The sequence below is a fragment of the Homo sapiens genome, chromosome 1, assembly GCF_000001405.40.
Source record: "Homo sapiens chromosome 1, GRCh38.p14 Primary Assembly".
In the NCBI taxonomy this organism is placed as follows: domain Eukaryota; kingdom Metazoa; phylum Chordata; class Mammalia; order Primates; family Hominidae; genus Homo; species Homo sapiens.
The window spans coordinates 9,771,803-9,790,163 of NC_000001.11; the positions used below are offsets into that span (position 1 = coordinate 9,771,803).

An 18,361-nucleotide genomic window follows, 5' to 3' on the forward strand; every position below is an offset into this window, starting at 1 on the left:
ACTGTGCTGAAAATGTGATGTGGCGCCTAAACAGAATGAAGTACAAATTTATTTTTCAAATAGTTCTTCAGAAACAAACTCATGTTTATTTCCTTCAACTTACTATAGTAAAATTAACATATGTTTCATACAAATTCATCCAATTTTTCTTATTTGTCCCTAGACAAATAGAACACTTTTTTTTTTTTTTCTGAGACAGAGTCTCACTCTGTCGCCCAGGCTGGAGTGCAGTGGCGCGATCTCGGCTCACTGCAAGCTCCGCCTCCTGGGTTCACGCCATTCTCCTGCCTCTGCCTCCGGAGTACCTAGGACTACAGGCGCCCACCACCACACCCGGCTTTTTTTTTTTTTTTTTTTTTTTTTTAGTAGAGACGGGGTTTCACCGTGTTAGCCAGGATGGTCTCGATCTCCTGACCTTGTGACCCGCCCGCCTCGGCCTCCCAGAGTGCTGGCACAGGCATGAGCCACTGTGCCCGGCCAGAACACTCTTTAATACGAGAAGTTTTTGTTTGTTTTGTTTTTTGAGATGGGGTCTTGCTCTGTTGCCCAGGCTGGAGTGCAGTGGTGCAATCAAGGCTCACTGCAGCCTCCACCTCCTGGACTCAAGCAATCCTCCTGCCTCAGCCTCCCACAGTGCTGAGATTACAGGCATGTCACTGTGCCCAGCCGTGCAGGAGAAGATCTGATCTGGAAAAATATGCGAAAACAACTCTTAAAAATTAACTTTACAATGTCAACTCCAACTCTGAGGCAGAAAAAAGGTGGCGCAGCCCATTCTCTACCAGTTAAGGACCCAACGTGAAGCCAGAACAGCTCTGACTTGGAAAATGCTATTAAGTGTTAGCAATGTACACGGTTATTACAGTATGAAAATCTCCAAAGCAATGCTACAGGTTTGTCTCTATAAAGACTGAGGCTACAATCTCATGTCTTTAAAATTCACTGAAGGTAAAATCTATGCCAAAAGCATTCCTCTATAAAGACCGCTCAACTTCTTCAAGTAAGTCTTCTCAGGTCATTGAAATCTAGGTAATGCAAGGAACCCCTGGCGCTGTGATTCTCCGGCTCCATGCCACTTGAGGACCAGCAACACCAGCAGTACCTAGGAGCAGGTGAGAAAGGCAGAATCTCAGGTCCTCCCAGACCCGCTGTCTCTACATTCCTCAGGTACTCCGTGTGCACCCTAGAGCCAGGGATGCACTGGTCTAGGAGTTATCTGGCTACATTAAGATAAAGAAAAAAATTATGCAATTAAATTAAACAGTTTGTTTTTCAACTATAAGAACAGGCCTTTTTGTCAGCTACCCCAACTATTAAAAGGAAAAAAAAACATGCTACAAAGGACGCTACAAATAACCCTCAGCTATGGAGACATTTTCAGAAACGCTCAGCATTACCCAAATGGGATGTGCAGAATGCTTCCTGACCAGGCCCGATTCATCAAGAGTCAATGAAAGCCCCGTTCCTACCTGCAAATCGCAGAGGCGCATCTTTATCCAGCGCGATCAGTGGGGGGTCGAGGAGCACGGTGTTGTCGTTCTCTGTGACTATGCCGTGGTAGGTGGGCTCCAGCCAGGGCTTGTGCTTGTTAACTGTGTTTAAAACAAGAGAAAAAAATAGACAAGGTTAGAAATATTATTTTCAACTCCACTACTTTTGAAGACACACACCTGCTATTAAAATAATAAAACTCTCATTAGGCTTGAAGACAGTGCTCACAGTTCTGTCGCAAAATTTGGTATCAAGACCCAAATGAGATGAAATTCTAAATTCCAGAATAAGTAATGTTGAAATTATCTGAATCCATGAAGCAACCAGAAATAAGAAATAAATTGCTCTAGAAATCAAGGGAAAAAAAAAGACTGATGGCTACGGGAAGACTATCTCTGTTTTCAGCCTATCACTGAAAAGTTACAAAGAAAGGTATTTTCACTTCTTTATGATTTTTTGAGACAGAGTCTTGCTCTGTCACCCAGGCTGGAGCACAATGGTGTAATCATGACTCACTGCAGCCTCAACCTCCCAGGTTCAGGTGATCCTCCCACTCAGCCTCCCAGGTAGCTGGGACTATGTGTGTGCACCACCATACTTGACTTATTTTTTTTTTTTTTTTACTCTTTGTACAGACAGGGTTTCACCATGTTGCCCAGGCTGGTCTTGAACCCCCGGGCTCAAGTGATCCGCCTGCCTTGGCCTCCCAAAGTGTTGGGATTACAGGCGTGAGCCACGGCACCTGGCCCCAGTATTATTATTATTTTTTCTTTTTTCTCTGTTGCCAAGGCTGGAATGTAGTGGTAGGATCTCAGCTCACTCACTCATTAAACCACCGCACCCAGCTGCCCAATATTAATTTTAAATTTGTATTACAAATAATAATGTAAAGCAAAGATGCAAAACACAATAAAGTATTAAAATAAAACTCTGCAGAATTTCAGAAAAACCCACCACTTGACTGAAAACAAGAGTGTTTAAGAATAATCCATCCGGGCGTGGTGGCTCACGCCTATAATCCCAGCACTTTGGGAGGCTGACGAGGGCGGATCACCTGAGGTCAGGAGTTTGTGACCAGCCTGGCCAATATGTTGAAACCCTGTCTTTACTAAAAATACAAAAATGAGCCAGGTGTGGTGGCACACACCTGTAATCCCAGCTACTCGGGAGGCTGAGGCAGAAGAATCGCCTGAACCTGGGAGGTGGAGGTTGCAGTGAGCCAAGATCACGCCACCGCACTCCAGACTGGGCGACAGAGTGAGACTCCGCCTCAAAAAAAAAAAAATAATCCACTTTTGAGTTAGGCTTGGGGTCCAATTCCAGCCTCCCTCTATTATGAGCTGTGTGACCTTAATTAAGTACATTAACTTACTGCCGGAAAAGGGTCCCAATCCAGCCCCCGAGACAGTGTTACTGAACTTCATGCAGTAAGAATTCGGGGCAAGTCCACAGAGTCAAGTGAAAGCAACTTTATTAAGAAAGTGAAGGAAGAAAGAATGGCTACTCCACAGGCAGAGCAGCCCTGAGGGCTGCTGGTCGGCTATTTTTATGGTTATTTCTTGATTACACGCTAAACGAAGGGTGGATTATTCATGAGTTTTCCCGGAAAGATATGGGAAATTCCCGGAAACTGAGGACTCCTCCCCATTTTAGAGCACATACAGTAACTTCCTCACGTTGCCATGGCATTTGTAAACTGTCATGGTGCTGGTGGGTCTCTTAGCATGCTAATGTATTTTAATTAGTGTATAATGAGCAGTGAGGACGACCAGAAGTCACTTTTGTCCCCATCTTGGTTTTGGTGGGTTTCGGCGGGCTTCTTTATGGCAACCTGTTTTATAAGCAAGGTCTTTGTGACCTGTGTCTTGTACTGACCTCCTACCTCATCCTGTGACTTAGAATGCCTTAACCTCCTAGGAATGCAGCCCAATAGATCTCAACCTTATTTCACCCAGACCCTATTCAAGATGGAGTCGCTCTGGTTCAAATGCCTCTGACAAACTGATCTCAAGTTCCTCGTTCGTAAACCAGGGACACCCCCACCCTCCTCTCGGTGATGGCCCGGATCACTGGAGAAGTGCTATCTTGTCCCTTCTTGATTGGGACTCTACCAGAACTGCTACTTTTGCTTTTCTGGCCGCTGCTGACCTCACTTCCCTGAGAAGATGATCATTTAGCCCCTGTCTGCTTTGCTTTGCCTGGGGCTCGGCTCCTAAGTGTCGATGTCAGACGTCCTCCTGGTAGCCATGAATCCCTCCCTGAGCCAGCAGTATCTCCACACGCACACTGGGGGCCCTGTTCCACAGCTCAAATATTTCCATTTTCCTTTTATGTTCACCTTAAGAGGGTTAACAGCTTCCATTATAACCTCAGACTATGAATGAACCAGGGGACTCCTCGATTAAGCTGATCTGAAAAGATGGAAAGAAATGGCTTGAAAACGTTGTTTCCAAGTAGACGGGGCCTACTTATTGAATGAACCACTCAGGTTCTGTTAAGTGTGAGTCAATCCAGAAGGATCTTCGTGCAACATTCCAGGATGTGATGCTACCTCTGCTGTACCTGCACTTTCCCCAGAGTGGCACCCAGGGAGGGGGGTCACGCTCACGTGTAAGGCTCAGAGTAGGCGTGTGAAGGCTTGCATCTGGAAGGAAGACAGACCAGAACAAAGCTGCCTCCTCTCTTTTTTTTTTTTTTGAGATGGAGCCTTGCTCTGTCGCCCAGGCTGGAGTGCAATGGCGCGATCTCAGCTCACTGCAACCTTCGCCTCTCAGGTTCAAGCAATTCTCCTGCCTCAGCCTCCCGAGTAGCTGGGACTACAGGCGCTCACCACCACGCTCAGTTTCTGTATTTTTAGTAGAGACGGGATTTCACCATGCTGGCCAGGCTGGTCTACCAACTCCTGACCTCGTGTTCCGCCCACCTCGCCTCCCAAAGTGCTGGGATTACAGGCGTGAGCCACTGCGCCAAGCCGCTGCCTCCTCTCTAATTAATGAAACATTTACCAGACATTTGTACACACTACATCCAAGCCAAGAGCAAATCCTTCTGGCTTCACTTCCTAAATAAACCCAGACCCCGGGGAGTTGTTGTTTAATGGGTATAAAATTTCGGTTTTGTGAGATGAAAGGAATTTGGAGGTTGGTTGCACAATAGTGTGAATGTACTTGATGCTACTGAACTGAACGCTTCAAAATGGTAGACAGGAAAATTTTGCTGTAGTTTACATTTAAAAAAAAAAATCCACATACACACAAACTCAGACACAGCCATTTCTTACCTCCTTCCTGAAAGGTCACAAAAGCCAAGTAACAAGCCTCCCTGTCCTTATCCCGGCACTTACTCGGCAGCCAGAGGGAAGCTTCTACAACAATGGGTCTTCAACTTTGGGGTCTCAGAACCCCTGTACACCAAAAAGTTACTGAGGGACCCAAATAGCTTTTGTTTAAATGGATTGGTCAGTCAGTTGATTATCCATCCATCCACCCACCTATCTCTATCTATCTATCTATCTATCTATCAGCATTTATCTATCATCTATCAGCATTTATCTATCATCTATCAGCATTTATCTATCTATCTATCTATCTATCTATCTATCTATCTATCTATCAGCATTTACTACACTGAAAATTAAAACCAGTCCAGGAGCAGTGTCTCATGCCTGTAATCCCAGCGTGTTGGGAGGCTGGCCACACAGATCACTTGAGGTCAGGAGTTTGAGACCAGCCTGGCCAACATGGTGAAACCCTCCTGTCTTTACTAAAAATACAAAAATTAGCCGGGTGTGGTGACACGCACCTGTAGACCCAGCTTCTCGGGCGGCTGAGGCAGGAGAATTGCTTGAACCTGGGAGGTGCAGGTTGCAGTGAGCCAAGATTGTACCACTGCACTCCAGCCTGGGCGACAGAGCGAGACTGTCTCAAAAAAAAAAAAAAAAAAAAGCCTGGGAGTGGTGGCTCAAGCCTGTGATCCTGGCACTTTGGGAGGCCAAGGCAGGCGGATCACTTGAAGTCAGGAGTTCAAGGCCAGCCTGACCAATATGGTAAAATCCTCCTGTCTTTACTATAAATACAAAAATTAGCTGGGCGTGGTGGCACACACCTGTAGTCCCAGCTACTCAGGAGGCTGAGGCAGGAGAATCACTTGAAACCGGGAGGTAAAGGTTGCAGTGAGCCAAGATCTCGCCACTGCACTCCAGCCTGGACAACAGAGCGAGACTATGTCTCAAAAAACAACGACGACAACAAAAAAGATAATTTTAATACTTATTAACTCATTTAAAAAACAAACACATTATATAATACATTCACATAAACAATATTTTTATGAAAATAACTTTTTGAAAACAAAGCTTACTAAGAAGAGTGGCAACAGTTTTGTTTTTGCAAATCTTTGTTGTCCACCTTCACAGAAGACACCTGAGTTCTCGTCTCTACCCCCGCTCCCCCTGCACTCAGCCTGCTGCCTTGCTCCCCTTAACATAGTCTCTAGAAAATGCCACAGTGCAGCCTAAGAGGATGAGAAAACGGCAAATAATGTCTTAATATTGTTACAGTTCTGCCCTCTCGCATCCTGCCAGGGTTTCAGGGACTCAGTATCTCACTCGGGCTCTGTTGAAAAGGTCCTTCCTGCTGCTCTCACCAACCTCGCTCTGTCCCTCTGTTCCAACACCTGGGGAGAAGACGGCAGGGGAGGGCACTGGAGCCCAGTGCCCAAAGGCCTGGGTGGGACCTGCCTGGGCTCCAAAGGGCCCGCGACCTCAGGGCCTTCGCTTCCTCATCTAGAAAATGGGGACAATAATAGTCCCCATCTCATAGGTCGTTGTGTGATTAAACATGCAATCACAGTTCATTACATATAAAATGTTCAGAAGAGTGTCTGGCACTCAGTAAGTATCAAAAGGTGGTGGTGTTATTTCTCCTCCCCAACACACACACACACACACACACACACACACACACACACACACACACGCAGACTGTGAGAAAGTGGCCTTTTCATTCTCTAATTCCCAGTACCTGGAATTATGCTTAGCACACATGCAGGAACTATTTGGGAAATGAGTATATAAGAAACCTCAAATGCGCAAATCAGATCAGTTGCCCTGATTTATGAATTCTCTCATGGAGAAGATAGCTTTGGAGCTGGGAATTCAAAAGATACTGCGAAGGTGTTTTTTTTTATTTTTGTTTGTTTCTCCAGGTGGATGTTCTGAGCAAGAGAGCTAGAAAATCTAGAGACAACGCACGAAACCAACAGGTCAAAAGACATCAGTCTGGAAAAGGTTAAGTTATGGAAGGTTAGATTACAGAGGGACTTAATATGAAATCAAACCCAGACCATAAAGACCAAAAATAAAAGTGTCTTTGAAATCCGTCTTCTCCCCCCGTCCATAGGCTGCTCTGAAACAAGAGACTGGCTAAGAAGAGAATAAGGGGCCGGATGCGGTGGCTCACGCCTGTAATCTTAGCACTTTGGGAGGCCAAGGCGGGTGGATCACCTGAGGTCAGGAGTTCGAGACCAGCCTGGCCAACATGGTAAAACCCCGTCTGTACTAAAAAAAAAAAATTACAAAAATTAGCCGGGCGTGGTGGCAGGCAACTGTAATACCAGCTACTCAGGAGGCTGAGGCAGGAGAATCGCTTGAACCCAGGAGGCAGAGGTTGCAGTGTGCCAAGACCGTGCCATTGCACTCCAGCCTGGGAGAGAAGCGAGAGACTTCGTCTCAAAAAAAAAAAAAAAGAAGAAGAAGAAGAAGAAGGCTGGCTATGGTACGGCACCTTTCTCCTGCGAGCCTCCCTGGAGCAGCAGGGGGTCTGCCGGCAGGAGGTATGTGTGAGGCTGTCTGTGGGAGCTTTACGCACAGACTGCACCAGCATCAGGTCTGAAACGGCTCTCTGAGAGAATAACTTGACTTTGCAATCAGGTTGAACACTTTATCTAACCACTGAAACTCAACATCCTCTCCAGATTATCTTTTTAAAAAAATTTTTAGGACGGGTGCAGTGGCTCATGCCTGTAATCCCAGCACCTTGGGAGGTCAAGGCAGGCCAATTACCTAAGGTGAGGAGCTCAAGACCAGCCTGGCCAACATAGTGAAACTCCGTCTCTACCAAAAATACAAAAATTAGCCAGGCGTAATCCCAGCTACTCAGGAGGCTGAGGCAGGAGAATCGCTTGAACCCGGGAGGTGGAGGTTGCAGTGAGCCAAGATCGCACCACTCCAACATGGAGAAACCATGGAGTTTGACTCCAGCCTGGGCGACAAGAGTGAAACTCTGTCTCAAAAAACAAAAAAAAAAGTTTTTTTAGTTGAGATGAAGTCTTGCTATGTTGCCCACGCTGGTGTCAAACTCCTGAGCTCAAGCAATTCTCCCACCATGGCCTCCCAAAGTGCTGGGATTACAAGTGTGAGCTACAACATCCAGCTCAGGTATCTATGAAAATAAACCATGCTATGATGTAGGCTGGAAGAAGCTTAGAGTTACAGATGTAAGATAGGCCATTTTAAAGAAAGGACTCCAAAAACTCCATTGTTTGTTACCAATCTTTCACTTTCTTTTTTTTTTTGAGATGGAGTCTCACTCTGTGGTCCAGGCTGAAGTGCAATGAATGGTGCAATCTGGGCTCACTGCAACCTTTGCCTCTCAGGTTCAAGTGATTCTCCTGCCTCAGCCTCCTGAGTAGCTGGAATTACAGACGTGCATCACCACACTCGGCTAATTTTTTTGTATTTTAAGTAGAGATGGGGTTTCACCATGTTGGCCAGGCTGGTCTCGAACTTCAGACCTCAGGTGATCTGCCTGCATTGGCCTCCCAAAGTGCCAGGATTACAGGCATGAGCCACGGCATCCGGCCTCCAATCTTTCATTTTAAAGCAAAAATTGCTAGTTCAATTTGCCACTAATCAAATTAATATTCGATTCCAATTTGGCTTCATACTTTAAGGTTTTATTAATAAAATTACAAGCACTATAAATACTAAAACTAAATATTCTTCTAATATTTGAGTCCATAAAACTCCTGAGACTTAAACTAAATGAATTTATGTCTTTATTTAGCCCAACGGGGATGTAAAAATACCAGGCAGAGCACATTACAGAAAACCCATGATGAGTAGTAACGTAAAATGTGTGTTTCTGCTGCCCAAATGGAAAGGCCTGCAGCTGAAATGGTTAAGGGTTCGGTGGAAAAATAACTGTGTAACTATGTTCCCAGTATTCCAATTTTATAATTCAAATTTTCTAAATCGCTCTTAAGCTGGCAGTAGAATGAGATCTGGCCAGTTCCAAACACTGAACTTTTAAATATTTAATGAGTGATATTTTTAATATTTCATCACATTCAATTTGCATCATAAAACATTTACAGAAACAAGTGACCGATGTTTCTGTCATCATCACAAAAAAATGGCAAAGACAAGAGACTACTGGCTGCAAGTCTAGGAACGTGTCACCTATGTCGGAAGTCTATACCTGACTCATTTCATCACATTCTAGGAGGTTTTAAAAAACAAACTAAACTGCTTCTCCTGCCTCCCTTGGCCTCAGCCATGGCGAGTAGCCGTGGCAGCGAATCCAAATGCGGTGCGGGAGACCATGGACAGGATGCTGAATAAACTGTGTGTTGTGCACCTGCATCTTGACTTTGATCCATCACATGAGGTGTGGAATTTTCCACTGTGGTGTCATGTCGGTGCTTAAAAAGTTTCGGATTTTGGAGCATTTCACATTTCAGGTTTTGGGATTAAGAGTATCCAACCTGTACTAATCACACATTCTGCTTGAGATTTCAAGAATTTAGAATGCTGGCTTAGATATGGAAACTCCTATTTGTGTACGGCTTTGTGAACAAGAAATTAACCCAGAAGCTTTATCATCAGTTATTAAGGAGCTTCGCAAGGCTACTGAAGCACTAAAGGCTGCTGAAAATATGACAAGCTGATTTTCTGGGGAAATTCTGATGAGATATGTCAAGCTCTGCAAGAGGATTTAAAGATTGCACTGTAGTCGAGAATGTACAATGATACTGAATGCAGCAGTGTAGAAAAATTTTCCTTTTTAAAAGAATTATAAAACCATAGCATTATAAATCAGTGGAAAGTGGCTTACAGACAGAACTATCAGATGTGTTTACATCACATCTTATTCTTTTTTTTTTTTTTGAGGCGGAGTTTCGCTCTTGTCACCCAGGCTGGAGTGTAGTGGCGTGATCTCGGCTCACTGCAATCTCTGCCTCCCGGGTTCAAGCGATTCTCCTGCCTCAGCCTCCCAAGTAGCTGGGATTACAGGAGTGCACTACCACACCTGGATAATTTTGTATTTTTAGTAGAGATGGGGTTTCTCCATGTTGGTCAGGCTGGTCTTGAACTCCCGGCCTCAGGTGATCCGCCCAACTCGGCCTCCCAAAGTGCTGGGACTACAGGAGTGAGTCACCGCGCCCAGCTTATTCACTTTTTTTAACGGCTCTAATGCTTCCACATCGCCATGTTCATATTTATGTATTCTTTATTTATAGCTTTGATAGCTTTAATTTTCTAAGCAGTCTATCAGATGTGCACATCTGCTGTGCCTGTAGTGGAACCCATCAGTAGTAATGTGTAGTAGTTGTGACTTGTTGACATTTCCACTATAAATTTTAACTTTGAATTGTTTATGCATTATAACTGTGGATTTATATTGTATTGGGCTGAAAGCTGACACTATTTCAGCCACCATTGGTGAATTCTGATTTAGATTCATTATGTATGTCGGAATCTTGTTTTTTAAAATAAGAGCATGGAAAACATTTCTTGCAATCTGATCTTTAACAAAGAATACTTAGTTTTTTAAACAGTTTGTTGGGCAGCTAATAATGTGAACCAGGTCATTTTTGTATTGAGTAAAAATTTAAACTTCTAGAAACTTAGATTTTAAAAGTAATGACAATGCTTAGGTTAGTATTATTTGCAATTCGAATCATTTACAGCTAATGAGAATGTTTTCTTAAAGTTTTATACCCTATAAATGGAGGCCTAAAAAAATGTGTAAAATGAAACATAGCAAACATGCCAAACTCCTGTTTACTTTTCTTACATAAAAGTAATTTGAGTCCTTGACTAATAAATCTTGAATGGTTATTTAATAAGTTATTAGGTAAGTAATGTGTTTCAAAAAAAAACTAAACTTTGAATGTATTAATTTAAAACTATGCAAAAGCAAAGCTGGCAATCAAACCTTCTACAAGTGCAGGCTGTAGCTAGGCACACACCTATCATTTCAGGATATGACTCATTTTTTAGGGTTATGGTAGATTTCAGTCATTAGAAATTATTTGATTTTTAAGTCAAGATGAAAAAAATACAATAATCAACTTTAGGATTAACATGAATATAAGCTATGCTGCCCCAGCACAACCCAACTCTGTGGGCTAAAGAGAGGCTAGACCCGGGCCGGGCGTGGTGGCTCACACCTGTAATCCTAGCACTTTGGGAGGCCAAGGCAAGCAGATCACCTGAGGTCAGGAGTTCAAGACCAACCTGGCCAACATGGTAAAACCCCGCCTCTATTGAAAATACAAAAATTAGCCGGGCGTGGTGGCACACGCCTATAATCCCAGCTACCCAGGAGGCTGAGGTAGGAGAATAGCTGGAACCTGGGAGGCGGAGGCTGCAGTAAGCTGAGATCGCGCCATCGCACTCCAGCCTGGGTGACAGAGCGAGACTCCATCTCAAAAAGAAAAAGAGAGAGAGAGGCTGGACCCATGCCTAAGTCTCACAAGTAACGGGGATTTCAGCAGGTTGGTTGCAGAGCCCAGACGCCAACCACAGGTCCCAGGGTGGCCCTGATATCAGTCAACCCAGTACACGAACAGTTCCTTTCCGGTTTATTCACTCATATGGATGGTTCCCCACTTACAGTGGCTCAACTTAGGATTTTTAGACTTTACAAAGATGGGTTTATCAGAAGATAAACCTGATTGTAAGTAAAGAAGACTTTGTAACTAGAAATCCACGGTTTCCAGCCAGGCGCAGTGGCTCACACCCATAATCCCAACACTTTGGGAGGCCCAGGTAGGAGGATTGCTTGAGCCTAGAAGTTCGACACCAGCCTGGGTGACAAGGTGTGATCCCGTCTCTACAAAAAAATGTTTTAAAAAATTAGGCTGGACACAGTGGCTCACGCCTGTAATCCCAACACTTCGGGAGGCCAAGGCGGGTGGATCACCTGAGGTCAGGAGTTCGAGACCAGCTTGGCCAATGTGGTGAAACCCTGTTTCTACTAAAAACACAAAAATTAGGCCAGGCACAGTGTCTCGCGCCTGTAATTCCAGCACTTTGGGAGGCCGAGGCAGGTGGATCACCTGAGGTCAGGAGTTCGAGACCAGCCTGGCCAACATGGTGAAACCCCGTCTCCACTAAAAAAATACAAAAATTGGCCGGGCACAGTGGCTCACGCCTGTAATACCAGCACTTTGGGAGGCCAAGGTGAGCAGATGGCCTGAGGTCAGGAGTTCGAGACCAGCCTGGCAAACATGGTGAAACCCTGTCTCTACTAAAAATACAAAAATTAACCAGGCGTGGTGGCGGGTGCCTGTAATCCCAGCTACTTGGGAGGCTGAGACAGGAGAATTGCTTGAACCTGGGAGGCAGAGGTTGCAGGGAGCTGAGACCACACTATTGCACTCCAGCCTGGGCAACAAGAGTGAAACTCCATCTCAAAAAATAATAATAATAATAATACAAAAATTAGCTAGGCGTGGTGGCAGATGCCTGTAATCCCAGATACTTGGGAGGCTGGGGCAGGAGAATTGCCTGAACCAGGGTGACGGAGGTTGCAATGAGCCAAGATTGCGCCACTGCACTCCAGCCTGGGCGACAGGAGCGAAACTCTATCTCAAAAAAAAAAAAAAAAAAAAATTAACCAAGCGTGGTGGCATGCACCTGTAACCCCAGCTACTCGGAAGGTTGAGGCAGGGGAATCTCTTGAACCTGGGGGGCAGACGTTGCAGTGAGCAGAGATTGTGTCACTTGCACTCCGGCCTGGGTGACAAAGCGAGATTCCCTCTTGAATAAAAAAAAAAAGTTAGCTGGCATGGTGGCACATGCCTGTACTCCCAGCTACTCGGGAGGCTGAGACAGGAGGAATGTTTCAGCCCAAGAGTTACAGGCTGCCGTGAGCCAAGATCTCACCACTGCAGTCCAGCCTCAGGGAGAACAAGACTATCTCTAAAGAAAAAAGAAACCCACTGTTTCAAACAAGAGTGTGATGTGTGCCTCTTATCATGACACGTAGGTTGGTCATGTCTGCCCTTAAAAAACAACAGCTAAATATTGCAAGAGACTGTTGGCGTCTCACCTATAAATCCTAGATGATGTTACAGGTTTCATTTGCAGATTCAACTTTTAAACCTTGGTCTATCATAAGAACCTGCAATTAAGGAACACTGCCAGCAGGTGGTGACAGGTGCCCTTGCATGCTCCAAGTTCTCAGGCTTTGATTTTAAAATCCTGCTAGTTAATTTCCAAAGGCGAGCTAGTAGGCCCTTGTTAAAGATGACATGGGTAGAAAAGTATCTTAAACTCTAAGTTTAAAATCTCCAGCTGATTCTTTTTTTCCTCAAAAAAGCATTTGGAACAGGTAAAATATTCACAGTTTTAAAATCAAAATATAAAAAGGCATTATCTCTGGGTCTCTAAGTATTGTCCCTAGTCATAAATTCTTTTTTTTTTTTTTTTTGAGAGTCTTGCTCTGTCACCCAGGCTGAAGTGAAATAAAACTACAATGTGTGCCACCACTCCCAGCTAATTTTTGTTATTTTTAGAGGAGAGGGGTTTTCACCATGTTGGCCAGGGTGGTCTTGAACTCTTGACCTCAGGTGATCCACCGTGCCTGGCTAATTTTTGTATTTTTAGCGGAGACAGGGTTTCACCATGTTGGCCAGTCTGGTCTCAAACTCCTGGCCTCAAGTGATCCGCCTGCCTCAGTCTCCCAAAGTGCTGGGATTACAGGCGTGACCCACTGCACCCAGCTGTAAAACAGATTTTTTAATTACTCTTATTTTTTTTTTTCCAAAGACTGAACACTGCCAAAGAATCTCTGTATGCACAGGTTTAAGGATTTCTTCATCAGAATCCCAAACAAACTAAATTTTAAAGGGCTGATTGAAACACCAAATACATAGCTTAGACATTATTTAGATCAGGGTTTCTCAACAGCTGGACACTCTGGGCCAGACAATGTTTAGCTGTGGGGCTGTCCCGTGCATTGTGGGACGTTCAGCAGCATCCCGGCCTCAAAACCACTGGATGTCCGCGGCCTCCCCACCAAGATGTGCCAACCAGAAGTGTCTCCAGACATTCCCCAAGATCCCCTGGGGGCAATCCTCCTCCCTCCTCCCTTGAGAACCACTGACTGACATCCACCCCGTTAAGGAAAACCAATGATGTCTACATGAAAATCACTTGTACACTTTAAAAGAGCCACTTTAATAATTTGTGCATTACATTGATGTGAATTTCTTTTTTTTTTTTTTTCCGAGTCAGGGTCTCACTCTGTCTCAGAGGTGTGGGACACCCCACCCAGCTTGAAGTTAATTTTTAAAATAAAAACACATTAAGGCCGGGCACGGTAGGTCATGCCTGTAATCCCAGCAATTTGGGAGGTTGAGGTGGGTGGATCGCTTGAGTTCAGGAGTTCGACACCAGCCTGGGCAAAATGATAAAACCCTGTCTCTACAAAAAATAGGAAAAAATTAGCCAGGCATGGTGGTACACTTGGGAGCTACTTGGGACCTCCCAGCTACTCGGGAGGCTGAGGCATGAGAATCGCTTGAGCCTGGGAGGTGGAGGTTGCAGTGAGCTGAGATCACACCACTGCACTCCAGACTGGGTGACAGAGCGAGACCTGCCTCAAACAAACAAAAAACACACACATTAAGTGTCAAATAAATTCTTAAGCTAACAGAACAATTGAGTTTTTTAATAGTACAGTGAAACTTTCCCTGCATTTATTCACTTTTCCCAGGACAAGCATCATACCACCACATACTGTTACACACAATGCAGCTGTTCTACGAAAGGTGAGGCTGGGCGCGGTGGCTCATGCCTGTAATCCCAGCACTTTGGGAGGCCGAGGCAGGCTGATCACCTGAAGTCAGGAGTTCGAAACCAGCCTGGCCAACATGGCGAAACCCCGTCTCTACTAAAAACACTAAAAATTAGCCAGGTGTGGTGGTGGGCACCTGTAATCCCAGCTACTCAGGAGACTGAGGCAGGAGAATTGCTTGGACCCGGGAGGTGGAGGTTGCAGTGAGCTGAGATTGTGCTATTGCACTCCACTGCAGCCTGGCTGACAAGAGTGAGACTCCGTCTCAAAAAAAAAAAAAAAAAAAAAAAAACAAAGGTGAGAGCTGTTTGCAAGCTCTGCACATCTGGATCCACTCTCTTGCTCACAGGCTGGGACACCTGCCTGTCCGCCACCAGGCGGTCTATGGCTGGGCATGGGCTCACCACTACCCAGCTCACAGGGCCTGAGAGCTACATCGGGCTCCTCGTGTTGGGGAGCGCAAGGCATGCATGGTGGCATCATGAGAAAAGACCAGGGAATGAGCAGGAACAGATGGAGGAGGAACCCCTATGTCCTTCTCCCTGGTGCACATCCCACCCTGAACACTAAGAAGGAAGCAAGGGGACCAGACCCTGCACATGAGCCTCAGGGTAGGATGCCAGGAGAGTCCCAAGAACGAAGTTGGGGGTGAAGAGGTGGCTGCAGGGGTGAGAAGAGAAGGGGAAGGGGCTGGGCTGAGACTGCAGTTTAGAGTCTAGGTATCTCCCGCACACGGAGATGGGGCTGTCCCCAACTAGAACTGAGAGCTAAGGAGGAATGACAGGGCAGGAGAATCCAGAAGAAGGGGCTTCTGTTTCCCCCTTCTTCCATCCATCCATCCGTCTTTCTCGAGGCCCAGGTAGTCTTCTAGGTACCAAGAAAATAATGGTGAGTAAAACAGCCCCTGCCCTCTCAGAGCTTGTGTTATGGTTGATAAAAATATGAATTTGAAACAGAACCTGCAAAGTAATCCTCACTTCCTACAATTGCAACTTTTGAAAGCTTAAAGTGAGCCTTCTAATTTTTTTTTTTTTTTTTTTGAGACGGAGTCTCACTCTGTCGCCCAGCCTGGAGTGCAGTGGTGTGATCTCGGCTCACTGCAAGCTCCGCCTCCCGGGTTCACGCCATTCTCCTGCCTCAGCCTCCCGGGTAGCTGGGACTACAGGCACCTGCCACCGTGCCCGGCTAATTTTTTGTGTTTTTAGAGAGACGGGGTTTCACCATGTTAGCCAGGATGGTCTCGATCTCCTGACCTCGTGATCCACCTGCCTTGGCCTCCCAAAGTGCTGGGATTACAGGCGTGAGCCTTCTAATTTTTCCTCCAAATTCCAAACAAGTTTTTTTAATGTGGGAAAATACACAGTATAAAAATTTACCATCTTAACCATTTTTAAGTGTACAGGCCAATAGCATTAAGTACATTCACACTGTCATCCAACCGTCACCACCACTACCCGTCTCTAGAACTTCTTTCATCTTGCAAAACTGAAACTCTGCACCCACTAAATACTAACTTCCTATTTCCCCTCCCCCAGCCCCTGGCAGCCACCATTCTATTTTCTGTCTCTGTGAATTTGACTATTTGACTAAGGGTCCGGCGTGGTGGCTCAAACCTGTAATCCCAGCACTTTAGGAAGCTGAGGAAGGTGGATCGCTTGAGTTCAGGAGTTCAAGATCAGCCCGGCCAACCTGGCGAGACCCCGTCTCTACAAAAAATACAAAAATTAGCCAGGCATGGTGGTGCCACACTTGTAGTCCCGCCTACTTGGGAGGGTGAGGTGGGAGGATCACCTGAGCCTGGGAGGTCGAGGCTGCAGTACGCCAAGATGGTGCCACTGCACTCCAGCCTGCATGACAGAGTGAGACCCTGTCTCAAAAAAATAAAAATAAAGAATTTGACCATTCTAGGCCAGATGCGGTAGCTCATGCCTGTAATCCTAGCACTTTGGGAGGCCGACATGGGTGGATCACCTGAGGTTGGGAGTTTGAAACCAGCCTGGCCAACATGGTGAAACCCCATCTCTACTAAAAATACAAAAATTAGCTGGGCATGGTAGTCCATGCTAATTCCAGTCACTTGGGAGACTGAGGCAGGACAATCGCTTGAACCCAGGAGGCGGAGGTTGCAGTGAGCTGAGATCATGCCACTGTACTCCAGCCTGGGTGACAGAGTGAGACTGTTTCCAAAAAAAAAAGGAATTTGAGGCCGGGCGCAGTGGCTCACGCCTGTAATCCCAGCACTTTGGGAGGCCGAGGCAGGCGGATCATGAGGTCAGGAGATCGAGACCATCCTGGCTAACACTTTGAAACCCCATCTCTACTAAAAAATGCAAAACATTTGCCAGGCGTGGTGGCGGGTGCCTGCAGTCCCAGCTCCTCAGGAGGCTGAGGCAGGAGAATGGCGTGAACCCGGGAGGCGGAGCTTGCAGTGAGCCAAGATCACGCCACTGCACTCCAAGCTGGGCGACAGAGCGAGACTCCGTCTCAAAAAAAAAAAAAAAAAAAAACAAAAGGAATTTGACTATTCTAGTACCTCATATGAGTGGGATCACACCACACTTATCCTTTTGTAACTGGCTTCATTAGCATAATGTCCTCGAGGTGCCCCCCTGCTGTGGCATGCGTTGGAATTCCTTTTCGAGGCTGGATGATGTTCCGTTAGAAGGATACCATGTTTTGCTTATCCATTCCCTGGTTAACAGACGCTGGGTTGCTTCCACCTTTTGGCCATTGTGAACAATGCTGCTAATGCTGGTGTACAAATACCTCAAGGCCCTGTTTTCTAATCTTTTGTGAATATGCCCAGAAGGCGGACTGCTGGATCATACGGTGATTCTATCTTTAGGGTGATTGTATCTTTGTGTTTTGAGGAGCCGCCATACCGTTCTCCATAGTGACTGCACCATTTTCCATTCCCACCAACCGTGCACAAGGGCCCCGATTTCTCCACCTCCTTCCCAGCACTTGTTATTTTCTGCTTTTTGATAGACCATCCTAACAGATGAAACCAAACATGCTTTATATCAAGTAATTTTACCTTCTCGTATTGTGTAAAATTGATAAGATACCAAAGTAGACAACAGAGAGTAAGAAGCCCCATGTGCTCCTCACTAACCACTATAATGATCCACGCAGAATGAATCTTGTTTGACTTCACTCCCACTCCCAACACCGATACCACTTATTTTGAAGCAAATGCCAGACATCATATAACTTCCCCTCTCAATACCGCATCATACATCTCTAAAAGATAACAACTCTTTTTAAAACTAACCATATCAAGTCCAATAGAGCTTAAAGGTAAAAAATAAAATAAGCTGGGAGAGGTGGCTTATGCCTGTAATCCCAGCACTTTGGGAGGCTAAGGAGAGTGGATTGCTTGAGCCCAAGAGTTCAAAATCAGCTAAGGCAACATGGCGAAACCCGTCTCTAGTAAAAAATACAAAAATTAGCCAGGCGTGGTGATGCACACCTGTAGTCCCAGCTACTTGGGAGGCTGAGGTGGGAGAATCGCTTGAGCCTGGCTGGTAGAGGCTGCAATGAGTCATAACTGCACCACTGCACTCCAGCCTGGGCAACAGAGCAAGACCCTATCTAAAAAAATAAAGTAAAATAAATAAAAACTAACCATAATGGCAGTATTACCTAAAATTTCACAATTATTTAATATCATCAAATACCTAATCAGGGTTCCTATTTATCTGCTTGTTTGGTGTATCAAATAATTTCACTCAAGACTTTTCTCGCTCTGTAGGGTAAGTTTGTGTTGTTTCACTCCGAAT

General features: G+C 45.4%; 1 protein-coding gene and 1 pseudogene across 4 annotated transcripts in view, besides 2 other annotated features; one reads left to right on the forward strand and one right to left on the reverse strand.

Moving 5' to 3' along the window:
• CLSTN1 (calsyntenin 1) overlaps positions 1–18,361 on the reverse strand; it is a 95,601-nt gene that overhangs the window by 42,877 nt on the left and 34,363 nt on the right. For all 4 annotated transcript variants that reach the window (XM_047449470.1, NM_001009566.3, NM_014944.4 and 1 more), the window contains exon 2: positions 1,470–1,592. In XM_047449470.1, the coding sequence (XP_047305426.1) occupies positions 1,470–1,592 (123 nt within the window). The remainder of the gene's footprint in view (positions 1–1,469; positions 1,593–18,361) is intronic.
• On the forward strand, positions 9,020–9,638 carry MZT1P1 (mitotic spindle organizing protein 1 pseudogene 1; annotated as a pseudogene).
• Positions 14,522–15,022: an enhancer, noted in NCBI's record as "H3K4me1 hESC enhancer chr1:9846382-9846882 (GRCh37/hg19 assembly coordinates)". NCBI's record gives its function as "activates a minimal SCP1, AML or CMV promoter by ChIP-STARR-seq in naive H9 embryonic stem cells {active_cell/tissue: H9 hESC(naive)}" and the evidence as "EXISTENCE:reporter gene assay evidence [ECO:0000049][PMID:30033119]".
• Positions 16,656–17,444: an enhancer, noted in NCBI's record as "NANOG-H3K27ac-H3K4me1 hESC enhancer chr1:9848516-9849304 (GRCh37/hg19 assembly coordinates)". NCBI's record gives its function as "activates a minimal SCP1, AML or CMV promoter by ChIP-STARR-seq in naive H9 embryonic stem cells {active_cell/tissue: H9 hESC(naive)}" and the evidence as "EXISTENCE:reporter gene assay evidence [ECO:0000049][PMID:30033119]".